This window comes from Homo sapiens, chromosome 8 (assembly GCF_000001405.40).
Source record: "Homo sapiens chromosome 8, GRCh38.p14 Primary Assembly".
In the NCBI taxonomy this organism is placed as follows: domain Eukaryota; kingdom Metazoa; phylum Chordata; class Mammalia; order Primates; family Hominidae; genus Homo; species Homo sapiens.
In genome coordinates this window covers 8,127,314-8,150,980 of record NC_000008.11, presented here as the reverse complement: position 1 = coordinate 8,150,980, position 23,667 = coordinate 8,127,314, and the positions used below count along the sequence as shown (strand labels likewise).

General features: G+C 43.8%; 1 long non-coding RNA gene across 1 annotated transcript in view, besides 4 other annotated features; it reads left to right on the top strand.

Moving 5' to 3' along the window:
- FAM85B (family with sequence similarity 85 member B) overlaps window positions 1-23,667 on the top strand; it is a 126,742-nt gene that overhangs the window by 76,523 nt on the left and 26,552 nt on the right. Inside the window, exon 3 of the long non-coding RNA NR_147089.1 lies at window positions 16,241-16,329. This is a non-coding gene — a long non-coding RNA (family with sequence similarity 85 member B). The remainder of the gene's footprint in view (window positions 1-16,240; window positions 16,330-23,667) is intronic.
- Window positions 9,319-9,872: an enhancer, noted in NCBI's record as "OCT4-NANOG-H3K27ac-H3K4me1 hESC enhancer chr8:7998631-7999184 (GRCh37/hg19 assembly coordinates)". NCBI's record gives its function as "activates a minimal SCP1, AML or CMV promoter by ChIP-STARR-seq in primed H9 embryonic stem cells {active_cell/tissue: H9 hESC(primed)}" and the evidence as "EXISTENCE:reporter gene assay evidence [ECO:0000049][PMID:30033119]".
- Window positions 9,873-10,428: an enhancer, noted in NCBI's record as "OCT4-NANOG-H3K27ac-H3K4me1 hESC enhancer chr8:7998075-7998630 (GRCh37/hg19 assembly coordinates)". NCBI's record gives its function as "activates a minimal SCP1, AML or CMV promoter by ChIP-STARR-seq in primed H9 embryonic stem cells {active_cell/tissue: H9 hESC(primed)}" and the evidence as "EXISTENCE:reporter gene assay evidence [ECO:0000049][PMID:30033119]".
- Window positions 21,019-21,681: an enhancer, noted in NCBI's record as "NANOG-H3K27ac hESC enhancer chr8:7986822-7987484 (GRCh37/hg19 assembly coordinates)". NCBI's record gives its function as "activates a minimal SCP1, AML or CMV promoter by ChIP-STARR-seq in primed H9 embryonic stem cells {active_cell/tissue: H9 hESC(primed)}" and the evidence as "EXISTENCE:reporter gene assay evidence [ECO:0000049][PMID:30033119]".
- Window positions 22,345-23,008: an enhancer, noted in NCBI's record as "OCT4-NANOG-H3K27ac hESC enhancer chr8:7985495-7986158 (GRCh37/hg19 assembly coordinates)". NCBI's record gives its function as "activates a minimal SCP1, AML or CMV promoter by ChIP-STARR-seq in primed H9 embryonic stem cells {active_cell/tissue: H9 hESC(primed)}" and the evidence as "EXISTENCE:reporter gene assay evidence [ECO:0000049][PMID:30033119]".

Here is a 23,667-nt window from a genome sequence, read left to right as displayed (position 1 = left end):
TAGGGGCCATCTGTACACATCTCTATATTCCTGAAACATGGTAGAAACAGCCAGCAGTCAGGCGACAATCTACGATGACCACTAAAATATCCCCAAAGTGAAACACTAGATGTGATCCACTAGGTTTAGTGGAGGTGGCTGGCTCGAGAGTTGATTATATTTATTATTGTCACTGTGGTGATTATGGCCACAACATTGTCATGCGTGTTGGTCTTCTTTTGGTGAGTTTCAGTTTGGAAGGAATAAATCCATTTTTTTTTTTTTTTTGAGTCTTGCTCTGTCACCCAGGCTGGAGTGCAGTGGTGCCATCTCAGCGTGCTGTAAACTCCGCCTTCCAGGTTCAAGTGCTTCTCCTGCCTCTATGGCCAGGCTGGTCTTGAACTCCTGACCTCAGGTGATCCACCTGCCTCAGCCTCCCAAAGTGCTGGGATTACAGGCGTGAGCCACCATGCCCGGCCCCATTATTCATTTAACCAATATCTGTTGAGCACATTGGGTGTGCTGGAGGATGAACTGCAGGGGAGAGAGGAAGCCTCCTCCTGCCACTATGTTTTCAAGTTGTCCTAATACTCCACCATGACACGCAGGCTTGTGGGTCCCAGAGATCCAGAAGCATCTCCCGACCACAACATCCTGACCCAGATTCTACTGAAAAATACGCGAGTCTAGGAGAGCCATCTCTGACACTTCCCTTCTTTTGAACGGCTGATCTGTCAGTCCTGGGGAGCCCTTATGAAAGTGCAGTGTGTTTTGTGAAACTTGAGGTTGATCAAAGAATACCATTAAACTTTGTTAAGAAATCTACATATTGATGACATATGCAGTGGGGTGGAGGTGGGGAAATTCCCAAATACATTTTAGGAATTATCTCAGAAGGAGGTAATAGTCAGAACTCTTGGTTGTCAGTGACAGAAACTCATCTTACTAGTGTGGAGTGGAAAAGGGATCATGTTTTTCTCTGCACTCCCCAACCCCAACCCCAAGCAGATCCTGAAAGAGGGACAGGATTGCAAGTGGATTATTTAGGAGATGATTCCAGGGGACACCAATAGGGGAGTGAGGAATTGATTCATGGAAAGGTAGGAGGCCACACAGGGGGTTTCAATGAGCAGCTTACCACTCTAGGCAACTAGGATTTGACCCCACTGGGGACCTCTGAGAGGTGATGTGGAATACATTTCAAAGTTGTTCCATCCAAGGGGCAAAGATATTGAAGCATTTATAGCCTGGCTCCCATCCGTCACTGGCTGAGGACTGGTCCCAGGGCATCAACTCTCTGGCTTTGCTTTCTTCTTCTTCTTTTTTTTTTTTTTTGAGACATAGTCTTGCTCTGTCACCCAGGCTGGACTGCAAAGGCATGATCTCGGCTCACTGCAACATCTGCCTCCCAGGTTCAAACGATTCTCTTGCCTCGGCTTCCTCAGTAGCTGGGATTACAGGCGCCTGCCACCATGCCCGGCTAATTTTTTTATTTTTTGTAGAGACGGGGTTTTGCCACGTTGGTCAGGCTGGTCTCTAACTCCTGACCTCGTGATCCACCTGCCTCGGCCTCCCAGTGTTGGGATTACAGGAGTGAGCCACTGCGCCCAGCTTCTGTGGCTTTTCTGACATACTCCATGCCTGACTTTCAGAAAGCCCTCAGGTGAAAGTCTTGGTTGTATGCAGTATCGAGCATGTACTAAAATGACAAAAACCAAGGGGCTTACCACAAGATCTCTCTCTCTATCTCTGTCTCTAGCTTTGTCTGCATACTGGCTTAATTTCTTCTTACTCAAGCCTTTTCTCCATAAGGTGAGAAACGTGTCCACAAAAGCTCCTGTATTTCTCACTACACACAATTCCTGTCATCACAGAGAATGATTAACTTGGTCTAGTTCCAGTTTGGAAAAATATTCAAGGGAAGAATTCTGATTGGCCAATTTAGGCCAGATGCTCATCCCTGGACCAATCAACTGAGGCCAGGGAGGTGGAGTCATTTGAGAACATGGCAGCCCCCATGAGATCCACATGACTGGAGTAGGAAGTGTGACTCTCTATAGAGGGGAGGGCTGCTAGGCTGAAAAGGCAATAGATGTCTGCAGTGAAAGGAATAGATCAGGAGATACATTCTGTTAAACCTGTTAATTATTTGAAAAAAAGAGAAACTTTCAATATACTGTCACAGTATACGTGAGCCGGTGGCTCACGCCTATAATCCCAGCACTTTGAGAGGCTGAGGTGGGCAGATCAGAGGTCAGGAGTTCGAGACCAACCTGACCAACATGGTGAAACCCCGTCTTGTGCACCTGTAATCCCAGCTACTCAGGAGGCTGAGGCAGGAGAATTGCTTGAACCAGGGAGGGGGAGGTTGCATGAGCTGAGATCATGCCACTGCCCTCCAGCCTGGGCAACAGAGTGAGACTCCTCAAAAAAAAAAAAAAAAGTTACATTGTCGTTCCCCCAGCGTGATTTATCAGAAAGGAAAAACTTACAATATGCATATTTCCTATGCATAGGCTACTGCTATGAATTGAAATTCTTAAATTCCAAAGATTAATTAAAATGTTTCTCAAGACACATAAACTGTTAGAATCTGCTTATAATGAGGCTGAAGTTGAGTAAGAAGAGAACTGGCATTTAGGACGCTACTTTTCTTCTGTCGAGTACTGTCAAGTTTTGGTTCTGCCTGGAAGTAGATGCACCTCAAGGGAGGGTTGCATGTAAAGGGGTGTGTGTGTGTGTGTGTGTGTGTGTGTGTGTGTGTGTGTGGTAGTTTCCAAAGATGGGTACAACTTTCTGCAAATGTTCGTGCAGTATAATTGAACCAATCTTTCCTTAAAGAGGGAAAATTTATACTCCTCTACATGAATCTGGGCTGCCTATGACTTGCTTTGGTCAGTGGAATGCTGCCAAATTGATGGTGACCAACTTCTAGCCGTAAAAGGAAAATAAACCTTGGGGCCCCAAGATCACTAAGCTAGGCTGGGCTCCGTGGCTCACGCCTGTAATCCCAGCACTTTGGGAAGCTGAGGCGGGCAGATCACCTGAGGTCAGGAGTTCAAGACCAGCCTGGCCAACATGACAAAACCCCATCTCTACTAAAATATATGAAAATTAGCCAGGCGTGGTGGCAGGCGCCTGTAATCCCAGCTACTTGGGATGCTGAGGCAGGGAAACTTCTTGAACCCTGGAGTTGGAGGTTGCAATAAGCCGAGATCGTACCACTGCACTCCAGCCTGCACAACAGAGCGAGACTCTGTCCGCCCACCCAAAAAAAAGTTACTAAGCTAAAGAGAAAAGTCAAGCTGGGAACTGCTTAAGGGAAACCTGCCTCCCATTCTATTCAGTTAACCCTTTGCTTACTGAGATGAATGTATATCTGATTGCCTCATTTGGAGAGGCTAATCAGGAACTCACAACAATGCAACCATTTGTCTCTTAACTACCAATGACCTGGAAGCCCCTTCCCCTTGTCTCACCTTCACTTTCACCTGGAGTTGTCCCGCCTTTCCAGACTGAAACAATGTACATCTTACACATATTGATTGATGTCTCATGTCTCTCTAAAATGTATCAAACCAAGCTGTGTCCCCACCACCTTAGGCCCATGTTGTCAGGACCTCCCGAGGCTGTGTCACAGGCGTGAGTCCTTAACCTTGGCAAAATAAACTTTCTGAATTAACTGAGACCTCATATTTTTGGGGTGCAAATAGTCTTAGGCCTTGAGAGCCCTCTCGTAGTTTCCATATTTTTGCCCTCTTGGATGCTGGCACCAAGCAAACCTTGGCTATCCTGCTTAAAGGGACATTTGGAGAGGGGTTCTGGAGGGCGAGGGGCGACATGGAGGAAAACAAGCTTCCCCGGCTGACAACCAGCACCAACTGCCAGGCACATGCATGAGGCCATCCTGGATGCTCTGCCCAGCTGGCCCTCCAGCTGCAGGTAGCCACACAAATGAGCCCAGGTTAAACCAGCCAGGAAGTCCCCATGCAACTCACAGGGTCATGAGCAATAATGGCTTCTGGTGGTTTAAAGTTTCTAATTTTAGGTGCAATAGGTAACTGAAACAGCCCACAAGGGTGTGAGCCTGTGGAGGGTGCATTTCCCACCTGCTGAAGCTTCTCAATTCCCAGGATCCAATCCAGATAAGACTCTTGTTCTCAGTGTCCTTGATGGAAATGGCAATGAACTTTTTGCAGATTGGACCATCTCGGGAATCCCAAAGATCGGAAACTATTTTCTTTCTCAGAATCTTCCACAAAGCATTGAGCCTTAGGAATTTCTAAGAAGGATCTGGAATGAAAAAAAATCTTTTGAAAAGGTATTTGTATAGCTTCAGTTCAGCAAGATTCATGGTGGGTGTTAGAGTAAGTGCTGGTGTTAAGCCAAACCATGTTTTTCAAAGACTCATCTGGCCTCAACATTGGCAGGATCAGAGTGGCCTCCCAGGATCTATCACATCCTCAGAAGAGTTGGTTCAACTGGCATGTACCCAGATCTCTTTGAGCTAGTATGATACTCCCTTAAGTCAAAGGCTGCCACATCACATCTCCTTTAAGTCCCCCTAAGTACGACCCCAGAAGTATTGACAAAATAGTGCAATTCCTGAAGATTTCAGGAGGACATAAATGAAGAGACTAAACTGCAAGGTACCAAAACTTCCATCTTTGCTAAAGACCCTCATCCAGACTGGGCACGGTGACTCACGCCTGTAATCCCAGCAATTTGGGAGGCCAAGGCGGGTGGATCACCTGAGGTCGGGAGTTCAAGACCAGCCTGACCAACATGGAGAAACCCCATCTCTACAAAAAATACACAATTAGCCGGGAGTGGTGGTACATGCCTGTAATTCCAGCTACTAGGGAGGCTGAGGCAGGAGAATCGCTTGAACCTGGGAGGCGTATGTTGCGGTGAGCTGAGATCGTGCTATTGCACTCCAGCCTGGGCAACAAGAGTAAAACTCCATCTCAAAAACCAACAAACAAAAAGCCCTTATCCAATGGTCATGCCACTCTATCTGGCCATGTAATTTCTCCTCCTGTCTTTCTGTAGCAACAGCCTTCTGAAGAACCTCACTCTGCCTTTCAAAACCCCTTCAACTTGTACCCTTCATCAGCAAAGTACTTAGCTCAACATGTATGCCTCTGGGGGTACTCATCCACATGCCATTTAAGGATATTTCCAGCATCATCATCTTCACTACCCCAGGATGGCATTTTAGAGTGGATTACGTGCCTGCTGGATGTGTTGTACTTGAACGAGCTAGAGAAAATGCCACACTTTAAGACGAATTAAGAGTCTGTTCATTTAGCCGGCGGCTAAGAAATGGCTAACGTTTAAAGTTCTCTCGGCCTCGAAGAAGGGGCTAGATTTTCTTTTATACTTTCGTTTAGAAAGGGGAGGGGGGTCTAGTTAAAACAATTTTACAGAAGTAGGCAAAAAAGTTAAAAGGATAAATTGTTGCAGGAAAGTAAACAGCTCTAGGTCTAGGGGCTTTAAGACTATTATGAGGTGATAGACGCGGGGCTTTGGGCGTTATCAATTGGACGAATTCCTGGGAACTGCGGATATTGCTCACCACAGTATCTTATCAGTTAATTGCATTCTTCGATGTGCTGGGCGTCAGCTTGCACAAGTTAAGTCCTTGAGGAAGGGGCTGTCAGTGAAAGAGCCAAGATGGAGTCTGTCTGCCTCTCTTAGCTAAGGGAGAGTCAATTCAGGTGGAAACAAGGCTAGGTGATTAAAAGAAAGGGAGAGTCTAAGAACAGGGTTAGTAAAAACAAGGTTGGGCATTACATTCCTCACTTGTATTTTTGGGGAATCAAATCGTTGATTCTTCAGTTATAACGAGGGGGTTATTTTGAGTCTTAAGATACATAAGTTTGACAGAAGGTATACGTTGTTTTACAAAATTAATAAACTAATTTAATATACAAGGTCCAAAAATTAAACTTAATAGTAGGATGGGGAGGGGGTCTGGCTAACTTAGTAATTAGAATAGTTAGCTCTGGGTTCTAGTTGAACATGCTTTGATACTAGGGGATGTTATTTTCTTGTTCTTGTTGGCGCTTATCTAGATTTTCTTGCACTTTCTGGAGTGTATCTTTTATGCCTAAGAATGGTGGAGGAACAGTTGAATCAACTTTCTCAGGGTGTTTCTGGAACATAGGGTTACTTAGATCAGTTAAAGGCCTGATTGGCTTGGGTGGGCTTTATGAGACTAGGTTTTTTTTGGATGGTGAACATAGACTTAACATTAAATCCTGGGATATAAAATCTTAATCTTCATGACATGCCATGATACTGTTGTGTTGAATTAAGGTCATGGACAGTTATAGTAAGAGGATTACAATTTCTTCTAGTATATAATTTAGGATGAGAAGCAGGACTTATGGAAAGAGTTGAAGATCTGGTTGATCTTTTAGAGCAGGTGGCTAAAGTTACACATGTCTAATCAAGACAGGAAAACTGATAAGTATCTTGACAGCTAGCATCAGGGTGATTTCTAGGACAGAGGTAAAAGTAAATATTTTGGAGTCTTTTTTCTGCACTTTTGGAGCTTCTACACTTAGTTTGGCTCTTGGAGTGTCTGAGTCTTGCTGCAAAGTCGACACTTCCTGCTCCTGGAACTGGCAGATTGTGTTGCTTTTCGTGGGTATGGGCTGGCTTTGGGAAGAGTACAAATAAGTCAACTGCAAAGGACACTTCCTTGGAGGTACTGGCCTTCTAAGTGGTGTTTGCAAGTACAAGTCCTGTTGTGAAAGAGGTGAGGAGAAAGGAGTAGGAAGGCACAGAGGATGTAATGGGCAAAAACAAGTGAGTGAGGTAGATAAAAAGAATGAATCTAATGGCTTCACCTGACTTAGGTGCAGTTTTAAGGGTCCTGACTTAGGCTTGGGGACTTATGTTTTTAGTTGGACTCTGTTGGCCTTTTTGATGCGGGAGTGATGAATGTAAGCAGGAATGCCATCTACTTTCAGAGCCATTGGAGTCGTGAAGATGACGTTGTGAGGTCTTTTCTAAGCAGGAGTGAGTCTTTCTTTTTGGAAGTTTTTAACAACACTAGGTCTCCTGGCTGGAACGAATGGCAGGACTTTGGTCAGGAATTGGATTGGGATGGGCTCCTGGAACAAGTGGCAGGATAATATCTTGTACCTGTTGGAGAGACTATAGGTACTGTAATAAATTAGTTTGTGATATTTCTGCTAATTTGGCATCTCTTAGCTTAGGCAAGATAGGCGGTGCCCTATTATACATAATTTCAAAAGGTGAGAAATTAGCCTGGTAAGAGGTGCACCTTAATTTAAGTAGGGCTAAAGGAAGGAGACTTACTTAATTTACACTGTTTTTTTAAGATTAATTTTATAAGAGTGTTTTTTAGGGTGTGGTTCATGCGTTCTACTTGCCTGGAGCTCTGGGGTTGATAGGCACAATGGAGCTTCTGTTGAATGTTTAACGCCTTACTGACTGACTGAGCTATAGGCGAGGTGAAGGCTGCTCTATTATCAGACTTTATGGCAGCAGGCAGCCTATATTGAGGGATGATTTCATTGAGTAAAAACTTAACTACTATGTTGGTGGTTTCGTTTTCGGTAGCAAATGCCTTAGTCTATCTGGAGAAGGTGTCTACTAGTACTAGAAGGTATTTGTACTTAGCCTGGTGTGGTTTGACTTCTGTAAAGTCAATTTCTTACTTTTTTCTTGGCGACTTTTTCCAGAGACAGTGGCCTGGGCTGGGTTTAGGACTTTGTTTGGCATTTACTTGGGCTCAGGTTGTGCACTGGAGAGCTGCTTAATCTTTAGGCTTTGAAGACTGGGGATCTTAAAATGGCTCTGGAGGAGCTGAGGTAGCTTTGCTCTTCTTAAATGGGTGATAGACTGTACGTAACTGGTTAAAGTTTGTTTAAGAGTTCAGGGTATGAAGATTCTAGAGTCAGGAAGAATCTACTAACTTTCCTGATTTTTATTGGCTCTGAGATCCGAAGCCAGTTGTTGTTGTTGTTGAGTATACGGGATTGTCAGGCAGATCTGGCTGTGGAAAGGAGACTGTGGGCAGCAAGTTTAGAGGCGTGACTGAAAGTCTTGCTGCGACCTGAGCTGCTGAATCAGCTTTCTGGTTACTATGGGCCACGGCCGTGTTTTCTTTTTGATGTCCTTTGCGGTGGATCACAGCTACCTGCTGAGGTGAGTAGCCTGCTTTCCTGGTAGATGGCTTTATGTACATGCACAGCAGCAAAGGCGTACTTGCTGTCAGTGTAAATGTTAATAAGTTTATTCTTACTTTATTGGAGAGCCTGAGTGAGGGCGATCAATTCAGCCTTTTGTGCTGAGGTGTTCGCTGGTAAAGCTTGAGCTTACAACAAATGTGTCTCCGTGGTAACAGCTGCACTGGCTCTTCATATTTCCTGCTTGAGGAAGCTGCTACCGTCTGTGAACACGGCGGCATCTGCCTTTTCTAGGGGCACAGCTTGAAGATCAGATAGGCCAGTTTCGATAGTTTCTAACAGTTCTTGACAGTCATGAGCAGGAATAGTGGAGTCTGAGTCAGGAAGTAGTGTAGCTGGATTGTAACACTTTGTGGGAGAGAAAGTCAAACGAGGCTGATCTAACAGTAAACTTTGATACCGCAAGATGCGAGCATTTGACATCTATTTGCCAGAAGCATTTTGTAGTAAGGTCTTTACGGCGTGAGGAGCTGTAAGGGTTAAATTTTGGCTTAGAGTTAACTTATCATCTTCTTGGGCCAGGCTTGCTGTAGCCGCTAAGGCTCGAAGACAACTTGGCCATCTAGAGGCCACAGGATCTAGCCTCTTAGACAAATAGGCCACTGGGCGGCTTTAGGGTCTTAAAGTCTGAGTAAGCACGTCTTTAGCAACTCCTTGGCTTTTATGGAGATATTAGGGAGGGCTAAAGCAGGGGCTTCAGTTAATGCTAAATTAACGGGCTACTTCATTCTGTACTTCTTGGATGGCTGCCACTAAGATTTTTGTTTGTCTTCTGAATGCTTTATCAGCGGCCTTTCCAGTTGCCTGTGTTGCTTTTGTTTTTTAAGCTTTTGATTATCAAAAACTTTTTGGGCTATTTCTAAAAGCTGACTGATATTTATTCTAGAAAATCTTTAGTTTTTGGAGTTTCTTTTTAATATCCTGGGCTGCCTGAGCCACAAATGCTAAATTAAGAGCAAGGCTATTTTCGGGAGCTGCCGGGTCAAAAGGGGTGTAAATCCGATAAGCCTCCTGGAGGCGCTCTAAAACGTTCTTGGTGACTTATCGGGCTTTTGGACAACGTCGGTCGTCTTAGACAAGTTGATGGGTTTCTGAGAGGCTCTTTTAATACTTGCGAGGAGATACCAGTGAAAATCGTCTAAAGCTCCCTTTCTACTTGAGGAATGTGGGTCCTGGTTAGGCTGGGTAGAGGGAAAGACATCCTCAAGGAGGTCTCTAGCTTCTTCTTCCGGTCCGTTGGCTGATGTGAGGAAGTACTTTTTGGCTTCTTTTTGGATACGTTCCTTCTTTTCAGAGGTGAAAAGGGTTAAAAGGAGCTGTTGGCAATCATCTTAGGTGGGCGGGCGGGTCCGGAGTACAGACTCTGTCAGAGAGGTCAAAGCCTGGGGCTTTTCAGAGAAGGGAGGATTATGGGTTTTCTAATTATATAAGTCAGAAGTAGAAAAAGGGACACAAACTAAGAAGGGTGCTGAGCGCTCGTCACCTGGAGGGACTTGTGCCTCTCTCAGTGGTAGTAGAGGGACTACTTCTTCCTGCCACGGTCATGACTGAGAGGCAATGGGTGGCGAGCCTACAGGGGACGTCGTCGAGGAGACATGGGATAACTTTAAGGGAGAAGGTTGGTTGTAAGGCGGTGGGATTGGGTGAGGGGGACTCTCCTCTTCTTCAGAGGGAGGCAGTACAGGGGAAGCTGAACCGACTGAGGGTTGAGGCGAAAACGCGGTCTGGCTTAGGAGGACCTTGGAGGTAGAATTATGAACGGCGCATGAACGGAGCCATGGAGAGTGGATCCTGACTAAACGTAGCTAATGTAGGGAAACTGATCAGGGTGACTAGGAGTTTCAGTAACAACCTGCCACACAGCTTGAACAATTGTGAGGTTCAATGACCCTTCAGGGGGCCACTTGACTTTAAACTTTGGCCATTTTATTTTGCAGAGTGTCTGGAGCTTGCCTTTTTTAGGCGGACTTTATAATCCTCTGAACTGAGAGAAAAATTCTGCAGCATACATTGGAGAGGGCTTTAACTTTACAAGGCTGGGAGGAAGTGTTTCTTATTTTTATTTTTTTTGAAGGCAATTTAATAAGATTTGAGCATAGATATTAAACTTAGCATGGACAGAGAAACTTATTTCTTGGGGGACTGGCATAGTGAAAGAACAGAATCAGTATGACCAGAGAGAGCAGAAAAACTTACAACAGCTAATACTACTTGCTACATTGCTGTAGCTTTAAGATTGAGGGAGGAGGACTAGAGCCAGCCTGAGATCTTCTGGGTCAGTTTGATTTAGGCGTTCTTCTTCTTCTTCTAGATCTGCACTTTAAATATTTTTGGTGTCTTTATGACTTAAATGCAAATAGCTTAAACTTAGCTTTTTCTTTTAAGGGTTTAAGGAGTGAGAGCAGAGCCAAGTCCTGGAGATGGTAAACTTGCTGTCGCACCGTAAAACGAGATGTGCGGGATAGGGGGCAGGGACAAGGCAGGAAAGGACTACTCGGATCATTTTTAAGATGGGACAGTAGCCACAGAGGAACAGAGTAAGAATCTAAATGAAGTAAAGCAGTACGGGCGTACATTTCTTTACACAGTGTTCTACTTAAGGGCACAGGAAAAGTTACAGAATGACGAGAGAGGTGAGCAAGGAAATTTGCAGGGTGGCTGTTTTGAACTCACTACTGGTTTAGTTTAGAGGAGGTCTAATCACCTGGACGTGGAGTATGACGATCTAAATACTTACAACTTTCATGGTGCTAGAAATCTTAATCAGGCAAATGTTTTTCACACTTGTTCTTGTAACAACACTTGACTTGCTTCTGGCAGAAAAGACAGGACTGTGGTCGCCAGCCTAAAAGATTGATGAGAAATTTAACCTCCTGTGACAAAAAATCAGCACTAAGGGCTTTGAAGAAGTTTTTACTTAGACGTCTTGGCAATATCAACGTCTTGACATGCAAAACTCTGACAACTACTAACAAGACAATAGACACTGAGCAGAACAATCAATATAAAACAAACAATTGACTTTAGTGCATGTAAACAGTTACGACAGTTTCTTCCTTTTTTTTTTTTTTTTTTTTTTTAGACAGACAAGGGGAGGGTTTCCTGTGATGGGATCAGTCAGATAACTGCCTGGCCCCTCCCCCTGAGGGGACTTGGGCTCCTCTTAGCATTGGCAGGCCGGTATAAACTTCCGGCTCAGATCAAGCTATGCCTGATGCTGCCTTAAGCCTTATGGGGTCGCCACAGAACCGCAGGTGAGGTGAGGGCCTACTTGAACTCCGTAGCTTTCGCCGTGGAGCTACAAACTGGAGGACAAGCGCGAGCCCTTGTCCTCCCTCACTCATTCATTATTCACACAGAGTATATAACAGTTTTTTTTTTTCTTTCTTGGAGATTCTTCAAGAAACTTGAACAAGAGAAAGATGAGAGATAGAAACAGAGAGAGAGAGAGTGACCGGTCTGCCGGAAACCAGGACTCAGTCCTCCAGCATCCTGGGATGTGGACTGAGTCAAGGGAGGGCCCCTGTCAGGGCCACTTCCCTCCTAGAAAGAGACACAGAGGTGCCTAACAGAAAACCAGGGCTCTACCTTCTAGCGTCCTAGAGAAACATGCAGAGTCGAAAGAGGGACACCCTCATCAGGGCCGCTTCCCTCTTCCTAGAACTGAAGTCAAATCTGACCTACGTGACCTCAGGGTCAGAAGTCGAGGACTCAGAGGTGGAATTTTTATGGGCACCCACCGGGTAGTCGATCCGCTCTCCTCTGGAAGACGGTCACTTTTCGAGGACCTGAAGGTTTTTTTTTAGGTGGCACCCCCCACAAGCCGGCCGTCCTTCCGGGGGAGCCCGGCTCTCTCCTCATGGCGTTTCTCGCTGGGGCCTCCAAATGTTGTACTTGAATGAGTTGGAGAAAATGCCACACTTTCACATGAATTAAGAGTCTCCTTATTTAGCTGGTGCCTAAGAAATGGCTAACTCTTAACGTTTTCTTGGCCCCGAAGAAGGGGCTAGATTTTCTTTTATACTTCAGTTTAGAAAGGGGAAACAGGTCTAGTTAAAAGAATTTTACAGAAGTAGGCAAAAAAGTTAAAAGGATAAATTGATACAGGAAAGTAAAGAGTTCTAGGTCTAAGGGCTTTAAGACTATTACAAAGTGATAGACGTGGGGCTTTAGGCATTATCAATCGGACAAATTCCTGGGAACTGTGGATATTGCTCGCCCCACAGTATCTTATCAGTTAATTGCATTCTTAGATCTGCTAAGAGTCAGCTTACACAAGTTAAGTCCTTGAGGAAGGGGCTGCCAGTGAAAAAGCCAAGATAAAAGCTGTCCCCAGTGTTAGAGGTGGGGCCTGGTGGGAAGAGATTGAATCATGGGGGTGGATTTCTCATGAATGATTTTGCATCATCCTTTTGGTCCTGTCCTTGCAATAGTGAGTGAGTTCTTGCAAGATCGGGTTGTTTACGAGTGTGTCGCACCTCCCTCCTTACTCTCTTGCTCCCGCTTCACTTTCTGCCATCATTGTAAGTTTCCTGAGGCCTCCACAGAAGCTCAGCAGATGTCAGTGTCATGCTCCCTGTATAGCCTACAAAACTGCGAGCCAATTAAACCTCTTTTCTTTATATATTACCCAGTCTCAGGTATTTCTTTATACCATGAGAACAGCCAAATCCAGCAGCCGTAGACAATATGTAGCAAATGTGCATGGCTGTGTTTCAATAAAACTTTATTGACAAACACATGTGCAAGCAGGTCAGATTTGGCCCATGGGCCATAGTGTCCCAATCTCTGCTCTGGAATATTCTGTCCAGCCTGGATGGACATCTCTAGGTTGTTTTTTTTTTTTTTTTTTTTTTTTTTTGAGACAAAGTCTCACTGTTGCCCAGGCTGGAGTGCAGTGGTGCAATCTTTGCTCGCCAGAACCTCTGCCTCCTGGGTTCAAGCAATTCTCCTGCCTCAGCCTCCCAAGTAGCTGGGATTATAGGCACCTGCCACCACACCTGGCTAATTTTTGTATTTTTTAATAGAAATAGGGTTTCACCATGTTGGCCAGGCTGGTCTCAAACTCCTGACATCAGGTGATCCACCCACCTCAGCCTCCCAAAATGCTGGGATTACAGGTGCCCGCCACCACACCTGGCTAATTATTGTATTTTTAGTAGAGATGTGGTTTCACTATGTTGCCCTGGCTGGTCTCGAACTCCTGATCTCAAGTGATCCACCTGCCTCGGCCTCCCAAAGTGCTGAGATTACACGTGTGAGCCACTGCAGCTGCCCTCTAGATTTTTTTTTTTGTTGACCATTGCTTATTTGGTTTGACTTTCATTTTCTTCCCCATTGTGGTAGTCATTTTCTGAATGCCTGTTAGTTTGTCCATCTCTCTCCTCTGTAGTCCCTAGAGTCAGATGAACTCCTCTGCAGGTGCAATGGTGTAACACTCTCTAGTGCTGAATTCTGAGCAGGAGAAAGAGAGCAAGAGTGACCAGTACCTTTGGAAACTCTGGCCTCCTGAGAATTTGGTGTCTCCTCTGCAAAGGTTGCATACCTGTTAACCCACAGGCAGGAGAGACAGACAAGCCAGAATCATGATCTATTGAGCTTGAGTTTAATATCTGATGCACAGAGATCACTGAGTTTTTTGATAAGAATTAGAGGGGGAAGAAATGGCCACAGAGAACAATTTCTATCTCCAGGTGAGGATTCAGGAGATAATTCTGTGAACAGAACTTCCTGAGAACTGAGATGGGGGAAATCGCTGGTATTAGAAGAGTGAAAATGTCAGTAATTATGGCTACGACTGTGCTCTTAGAGGCAAAAGAAGAAAATGAGACTGCCAGGCATGAATAATGAGAAATCTTTGATGGAATTAGCCATGCAGAACAGATACTAAATGCATCCTCATTCTTCTCATAGTCAAAAGTTTGTGCTTAAGCTGGATGGGAAAAAGAGAATCCCATTTCACTAAGTATAAAAGAGGGGATTTTAGAGAAGGTCTCAGAAGAAAGAGATGTGGGGGTTTGGTGAAACTCACCAGAGGCTGAACCCTCTCCAGCATAACACAGGGATTGGGAGGAGCAGGGCAGCATTAGGCCAGATGTATAGCCCAGTGCTGCTCTCTCTGGACTTGTTTGCTAGCTGAGCTCATCCATTTACATAATTTTCAGTGCCATTTCTCAGCTAATGAGTCCTGAACTTTTGTCTTGAGGCTAGAATTCTCCTTCAAACAGCAGTTTTAACACTCAACTTCTTTCTTGTTTTTTCCACTTGTCAACTCATGAACACCTCAACTTTGTTACATCCAAAGCCAAACTCATGGCTTGGAGTGGTAGGTGATGGCTGTAATCCCAGTGCTATGGGAGGCAGAGGTGGGAGGATTACTTGAGGCCAGGAGTTGGAAGCCAGCCTGGAAAACAGAGTGAGACTCCCTATCTACAAAAAAAAAAAAAAAAAAAAAAAAGCTAGGCATGGTGATGTGCATCTGTAGGATCTGTAGTCCTGCTACATGGCACGCTGAGGCAGGAGGATCACTTGAGCCCAGGAGTTTGAGGCTGCAAAGAGTTATGATTGCACCAATGCACTCCAGCCTGGGTGACACAGCCAGAGACCCTGTCTTAAAAAAAAAAAAAACCAAAGCCAAACTCTCTTTTTCCTCCTCCTTCTCCATGGGCTCTGTCCATGCCATCTCTGTTCTGTAAATGGCACCACCCCCTGCTGAGCTGCTCAAGGTGGTCATAACTCATGTGTTGTGCTAACTCTTCTTTTGCCCTCTTCTCCAGTCAGCAAGTCCTGTGATTCTAAACTTTATCCAACTTGTCCACTCTCTGTAGCTTCACTGTCATTATCTTTGCCTAGGACACCACTATCTCAGCTGGGCTACAGCAGCCTCCTAACTGGTCTTAACTGGTACTCTGCACCTGCTCTCCATGCTCAGCAATCCATTTCCTACCTGGCAGCTTCAGTGATCTTAAGGCTTCCATTGAGTCTCATCCCTGCCTTTCCTGCCCATGGTACATAGAATAAAATCGAGACCCCGAGTCTTCTGCCTGTTCCTGCCACCTCTCCAGCCCTCTACTATCTCCTGCCCTTGGCCTACTCTATTTCAGCCACTATGGCCTCCTTTTGTTTTCTTGGACTTTCAAACCTTTTTCCACAACACGGCCTTTGCACTTGCTGCTTCAGCCTGGAATGATTTTCCCTGCACCTCCCCAAATTAGACCATCCTTCAGGTGTCAGCTAAAATGGTGCTTCCACAGACAGCTCTTCCCTGACCCCTTTATAAAGTGGACTTGCCTGCTCTTCTCCACCTTAACCTCTTATTGTTTCTTGTTGTGGGAAGTCAGGGACCCCAAATGGAGAGGGACTGGCTGGAGCCATGGCAGAGGAACATAAATGGTGAAGATTTCATGGACATTTATCAGTTCCCAAATAATACTTTTATAATTTCTTATGCCTGTCTTTAATCTCTTAATTCTGTTATATTCATAAGCTAAGGATGTACATCACCTCAGGACCACTGTGATAATTGTGTTAACTGTACAAATTGATTGTAAAACATGTGTGTTTCAACAATATGAAATCAGTGCACCTTGAAAAAGAAGAGAATAACGGCAATTTTTAGGGAACAAAGGAAGACAACCATAAGGTCTGCCTGCCTGCAGGGTTGGGCAAAAAGAGCCATATGTTTCTTCTTGCAGAGAGTCTATAAACGGATGTGCAAGTAGGAGAGAGATCGCTAAATTCTTTTCCTAGCAAGGAATATTAATAGTAATACCCTGGGAAAGGAATGCATTTTTTGAAGCCCTTAATAAAAACTTGCTCATCTGAGACTCAGGGGGCATCACGGTCCTACTGATGTGTAATGTCACCCGCAGCAGCCCAGCTGTAAAATTCCTCTTTGTAGTGTCTCTCTTTATTTCTCAGCTGGCTGACACTTATGGAAAACAGAAAGAACCTACATTGAAATATTGGGGGCAGTTTCCACCTATACTTCTTTCATAGATTTACTTATTTTTTGTTTGTCCCCCTCTGTATCCTAGAAACTCCTGGAGGGCAGAGGCATGCCTGCCATCTTCATCATTGCATTACCACCACCCAACACTATCGGGGGACCTGCCCTGATAATCAGGTAGGTTCTTTTCTATTTTCCTAAGCGTCGACTGGCTTGAGAAATAAAAGGACAGAGTACAAAAGAGAGAAATTTTAAAGTTGGGTATCCGGGGGAGACAACACACATTGGTAGGATCCGTGATGCCCCACAAGCCACAAAAACCAGCAAGTTTTCATTAGGGAGTTTCAAAAGGGGAGAGAGTATATGAATAGGAGTGGGTGACAGACATCAAGTACTTAACAGGGTAATAGAATATCACAAGGCAAGTGGAGACAGGGTGAGATCACAGGACCACAGGATGGAAGTGAAATTAAAATTGCTAATAAAGTTTTGGCACCATTGTCATTGATAACATCTTATGAGGAGACAGGGTTTTGAGATCAACCCGTCTGACCAAAGTTTATTAGGTGGGAATTTTCTCTTCCTAATAAGCCTGGGAGTGCTGTGGGAGACTGGAGTTTATTTCACCTCTGCAATCTCGACCATAAGTGACAGGTAAGCCCCGGGGGGCCAGTTCAGAGACCTACCCCTAGGTGCGCATTCTCTTTCTCAGGGACGTTCCATGCTGAGAAAAGGAATTCAGTGATATTTCTCCCATTTGCTTTTGAAAGAAGAGAAATATGGTTCTGTTCTGCCTGGCTCACCAGCGGTCAGAGTTTAAGGTTATCTCTCTAATTCCCTGAACAATTGCTGTTATCCTGTTCTTTTTTCAGGGTGCCCACATTTCATATTGCTCAAACACACATGATGTACAATTTGTGTACTTAACGCAATTATTACAGGTCCTGAGACGATATACATCCTTCTCGACTGACAGGATTAAGAGATTAAAGTAATGACAGGCATAGGAAATCACAAGGGTATTGATTGGGGAAGTGATAAGTGTCCATGAAATCTTCACAATTTATGTTTAGAGATTGCAGTAAAGACAGGCATAAGAAATTACAAAAGTATTAATTTGGGGAACTAATAAATGTCCATAAAATCTTCATAATCCACGTTCTTCTGTCATGGCTTCAGCCGGTCCCTCTGTTTGGGGTCCCGACTTCCCGCAACATCTCTCCCTTTCTTTTTATATAAATGTGCCATGGCGATGAAGGCTTGTTCATTCTCTCGATTTTGACACAGGATTATTTGACTGGTACGGCACACTAAAAGCAAGCCGATGAAGCAGAGAAACATAATTCCAGAATTTACTACAGTGGAGCCCCCAATAGACTTAATCCAAGTTCTGGGGTTTAATCCATAAAGATTTTCTGCCACCTGATCTAACGCCTGAGCTCCAGGCACGATGGATAAGTGAGCTTGTGAGGCTTCAAAAATTTGTTTTTTTTTTAATTTAGTTGTTTTCAATGATAAATTATATTTTCTACCTAGAAGATGTCCTTTGACCATTTCCCATGAATGATCAGTCTCGTTGTAGGAATAGGGGTGATGCAGAAATCCAAAGTATTCCAATCGCACTGCATTTGCATGCGATGTTCTAGACTCACTACCCGATCTCCAAGCCAAATAACAGACTGTCTTAAATCATTAATTTGATTTGCCAATTTTTGATCGATGCCTTGTTGAGAATTCCTCATTTGGGTGGAATTGGCTTGCCAATCATTAACAAAATGAGCCGTTTGAATAGACTGGTGTAATGCCATTCCAGCAGTGGTGGCCATTGCAGTGACTGTAATTAGGCCCATGATAACAGCGATTAAAGTGAAAACAAATATCTTAGGTTCTTTTAGAATTCGTTGTACCACTTCATTAATTAAATGTATTGAGGGGGAGGATTCCCAAGGTCTAGGTAAAGTTATCGGAATCCAGATTCCTTCTCGAGCTCAAACCAACATTACACTTTTCCTGGAGTCAAAGTGGGAGTTAATACAAGTGTATAGATGACAACTGATGCATTGGACACTTTGATTATTCTTCCAAATTTTGATATTTCCTACCAATATCATGTAAGGAGGCTTAACACAACTCTGTATGGGAACAGTCAGGTTGGAGGTAAGTAAAGCAGAATATCTGGGTCTACGTTGATACTGAGAGAGTGGGACGGTAGTGGGAACAACAGTCAAAATAGTTTTTCCTTCCCATACTCGCAGTCCAGACATGGCAATAGCCAATTTCCAAAGTTCTGGGTGTTCTGGGCTCAGAATAGGGAGTATCATAGGATGCCTGGTGGGGGCGGGGGTAATGCCTTTATCTTCCCATTTTAAGGGAAAGAATGAGCTGATCCTTGAATGATGATTCTCTTTCTCCTGATAAGAAATAAAATAAGTAGCCTCCAGGCATTCCCTTCCACAGAGGAGCAATTGTTTTTTAAATAGCCCTATGGTGCCCAGTCTATTACTAAACCATATGAGTCATTTTTTAATATTACTGCATGTGAGTTAACACCATCTTCCCAAATTAAAGTTTTAGATGGTCCCTCAAAATGTTTAGGGCATGGTTTTCCTGCAGGTTTATATTGAAAGTATGGGGTACCTCCCATTACTCCTCCTTTCATTTGTTGTAAAGGAGAAAGGGAGAGGCCAGAGGCCAAATGTCCCATTTTATCTGTAGCTGATGTTTCTGAAAGATAAGCAGCCCAGAACTGAGTTTCTAGATGGATGCAACCAGGTGCATGTCCGAGGCACAGAGGTGGGTATTTATAACCCATGGTAACATTAAATGCAGTGCCTTCTTCTCCTGGTTGTGCGGGGCAAGGGTCGTCTATGGCTCCAGGCATCCACACACTATCGTTAGTGTAGATTTCTGCGGGAGCATCTATCCGGGTGAGAGAGCGAATAAGTGGAGGAAAAGACACCTAAGCCCAAGAAGAATAATTATGTGTAGCAGGTAAATCAGTGTGAGAGGAAACTGGTGAGACAGAAAGTATAAGGAGGAGAATCATTAAATAAAACCTAGTGTAAGCGAGATGGAGTGCTGAAGGAGAAAGAGAAGAAGAGTGGGATGTTATTTTCAGGCTAATAGAAATGGTGAGATATTTAGGTTTGTAAGGAGAAAAAGAAAGGTAATCAGGATAAGTGTGATTAGTTAGATGGGTCTCCACTGTCATCAGGGAGGATTGATTTACACCCATTGTGATTTGGTGTGCCTGTTTCTGAGGAGTCGGCACAGATCTCACCACATCTGAAGGCAGTCTCTGACACAGACGTCTCTTCACTGTGGTTTTGATTGTCAGTATTCACAAGAAGCTTGAGTCTTCTGGTGGGCACCCAGACAGGGGATTGATGATCTCCTGGTGAAACACAAGCATATCCTCTTCCCCACGTTAAGTAGAATAAGAGACAATATTTAAAGGTTTGGGGAAATCCTGTAAGGCAGTAATCACAGCAATTAACTCCGCATTTTGAAGAGAAGTATAAGAGGTAGAAAGAAGTTTGTCTGCAGGACCTGTATAGCCAGCATTGCCATTACCAGAGCCATCAGTGAATACTGTAACGGCCTCAGGAATGGGTTGATTTTTGGTTAATCGAGGAACCACCCAAGACGTTATTTTTATAAAATCAAACAATTTGTTTTTTTGGATAATGATCGTCAATAACACCAATAAAATCAGCCAAGTGAATTTGCCACAGTACAGAATGTTGAAAGGCAGCTTGAACTTCGAGCTGATTTAAAGGAACTACAATTACACTTGGATCAAATCCAGAAAATTGAAGTATTCTGCACCGAACCTGTCCAATTAATATGGCTATTTGGTCTAGATAAAGTTTTTGACACAGAATGAGGAAGAAAACACCATTCCACTAAATCATTATGTTGAACTATTAGTCCAGTAGGAGAGTGTAATGAAGCAAAAACCAGAAGCTGAAAAGGCTGAAATGTCTGTACTCTAGATAACTGGGCAGTCTGGATTTTTTCCTCTACAAATTCCAGATCCAGTAAAGCCTCAGGGGTCAAAGTCCTAGGGCTGCGGAGATCAGAATCTCCCCGCAGCATAGAGAACAAGTTAGACAGGGTATAGGTCGGAATGCCTAAAGTAGGTCTTAAATAATTAATGTTACCCAAAAGTTTTTGGAAGTCATTTAAAGTTTTTAAAGAATCTCTCCTAATTTGAACTTTTTGAGGTTGAATACATTGTTTATCGACCACCATTCCTAAATATTGAACAGGAGTGGTCTGTTGAATTTTATCCTGAGCAATGCGTAATCCAGCCTCTGTAACACAGCGGTTCAAAATTTGGTAACAGTCAATTAATTTTTTATCAGTGGGGGCAGAAATTAAAATATCATCAATATAATGAAGAATATAGGCCTCGGGAAATCGGGCTCAAACTGGTGAAAGCACTTGTCCAACATAAAGCTGGCAGATTGTAGGGCTATTTAGCATTCCCTGAGGAAGTACTTTCCATTGATAACGAGCTACAGGCTCCTGATTATTGATAGATGGTACAGTAAAAGCAAATTTTTCACAATCCGATTTATGTAAAGCGATATGAAAAAAAAAACTCTTTAAGATCAATAACTATGAGAGGCCAATCTTTAGGTATTAAAGCAGGGGCAGGCATGCCGGGTTGGACGGCCCCCATAGGTTTAATTACAGCATTAATGGCCCTTAAATCGGTTACTATCCGCCATTTGCCTGATTTCTTTTTTACTAGAAACAGGAGAATTCCAAGGGGAAAGAGAAGGTTCCACATTTCCAAGTTGTAACTGCTCAGAAACCAATTGATTTAAAGCCTCCAGTTTTTCTTTAGAAAGCGGCCCCTGCTGAATCCCAGGGCCACTTGTCTTATCTCCTTTGTTTAAAAGGATATTAGGTAGTAAAAGCAATTGAGCTTGTTGAAGAGTAGTAAAAGAAACAGGAGCTTGGGCTGGGGAGTGTAGTTTATCCCAAGCTCTCATACACACTTTTGTTACTTGTTCTGTGGTAAGAGTATCAAAGTTTAATTGGGCATAAGCATCAGAGAAACTATCGGAGCCTGTGAGCTGAGCCTGAGTAATTAGAATGCCATTACTCCGATTTAGCTGAGCCTGTAAACAGGCCTCCTCCTACCACCAGGCTGAGATGGACTTAGAACAGCTTTTTGCCAAAAGATCACAGTCTAAAGGAAGCAAAACGACCTCAGTATAAAAAGTTTGCAATACCATTTGAACATAAGGAAAAGTAGGACCATACTGAGTACAAGCATCCTTAAATTGTTTTTAAAAAGGTAAGATTGAGCGGCGCATATCGATGCAGACTGGCTGAGGAACTGAAACGACAGGAGGGTGAGGGGCTGTAGTGGATGGGGGAGGGCCTGGAGAATGACAGGTAAATTGTAGTTTGGTCCCAGAGCCATTATTTGATGCTGGAGGTTTGAAGAGAGAAGAATTAGCATATTTATGGTACCGGGCTTTTTGAGTCACAGCCGCAGGAGTTTGAAGTACCGGCTTTTCGTGGGAAGAAGTAAGAAAAGTAGGGGGTAACTTTAAGCCAAAGTTACCAGAGTTAGAAATCGAATTTTCAGAATCGTTAGGGAGGGGAGGAGTAGCTGAAGGGAGAGTCTGAACGAAGGCCATGTGGGAGAGGAAGGTTGAGAAAAAGGCAGAGAAACTGAGGAAAAGGCAGAAAACTGCGGCAACTGCAGGGGGTCAGGAGATTGGCAAGCCACGAAGATGTCACGCACCAAGCACCCCAAACAGTGATGGGCACATAATACCCGGCCGAGATCAGTTTTCGGAATGCCTTACGGACACAATCACACAATTTTATATACACCGTTCCTTTTTCAGGAAACCAAGAACAGTATTTTTCTACTGCCCTGAATAGAGTGATCATATTTTTCATGGTTACCGGTTTTAACAGGAGTTTGTTAGATTACACATGACCCACAGTTAACCCAGACCTTACACAGATTACTCACCACTCATCGGGGAGTTGAACACGCTTATCTGTGGACCAAGCCGATTGACGTTTCACCGCACCTACCAAACGGAATCCGGTTCCCTCATGCACTTAGGAAAAAAGAAAGACCACGTGGGCGCCAGATATCGGGGGACCTCCCCCGATAATCACGTAGGTTCTTTTCTATTTTCCTAAGCGTCGACTGGCTTGAGAAATAAAAGGACAGAGTACAAAAGAGAGAAATTGTAAAGCTGGGCATCTGGGGGAGACATCACACATTGGTAGGATCCGTGATGTCCCACAAGCCACAAAAACCAGCAAGTTTTTATTAGGGAGTTTCAAAAGGGGAGGGAGTATATGAATAGGTGTGGGTGACAGACATCAAGTACTTAACAGGGTAATAGAATATCACAAGGCAAGTGGAGACAGGGCCAGACCACAGGACGGAAGTGAAATTAAAATTGCTAATGAAGTTTTGGCACCATTGTCATTGATAACATCTTATGAGGAGACAGGGTTTTGAGATCAACCCGTCTGACCAAAGTTTATTAGGCGGGAATTTTCTCTTCCTAATAAGCCTGGGAGTGCTATGGGAGACTGGAGTTTATTTCACCTCTGCAATCTCGACCATAAGAGACAGGTACGCCCCGGGGGGCCAGTTCAGAGACCTACCCCTAGGTGCGCATTCTCTTTCTCAGGGACGTTCCATGCTGAAAAAAGGAATTCAGCGATATTTCTCCCATTTGCTTTTGAAAGAAGAGAAATATGGTTCTGTTCTGCCTGGCTCACCAGCGGTCAGAGTTTAAGGTTATCTCTCTAATTCCCTGAACAATTGCTGTTATCCTGTTCTTTTTTCAGGGTGCCCACATTTCATATTGCTCAAACACACATGATGTACAATTTATGTACTTAACGCAATTATTACAGGTCCTGAGACGATATACATCCTTCTCAACTGACAGGATTAAGAGATTAAAGTAATGATAGGCATAGGAAATCACAAGGGTATTGATTGGGGAAGTGATAAGTGTCCATGAAATCTTCACAATTTATGTTTAGAGATTGCAGTAAAGACAGGCATAAGAAATTACAAAAGTATTAATTTGGGGAACTAATAAATGTCCATAAAATCTTCATAATCCACGTTCTTCTGTCATGGCTTCAGCTGGTCCCTCCATTTGGGGTCCCTGACTTCCCGCAACACAGCACAGTGCCTGGCACAAAAGAGTTGCTCAATAAATAAATCAGGATGAATAGATAAATACACGGATAGGCACTTTGAACTACAGATGAGCTTAAATACTTTGTTTTTCTTAGTCAAACATGTGCAATGAAGCATGTGATAAATGTTATGATGAGCATACCTGTGTCTTGCCTGATGTTCTTTGCAATCACTAAATGAAGTCAATTGGGCCTGTTTTGACAGTTCTATTTTCAACCTAATGATCTGTTTATTTTAACTTCTGGCTGTTGGCTTTGTTTGGGTTTGTTAGCCTGACAAAGTGGTAGATATTGGTATTTGCTCTTTTG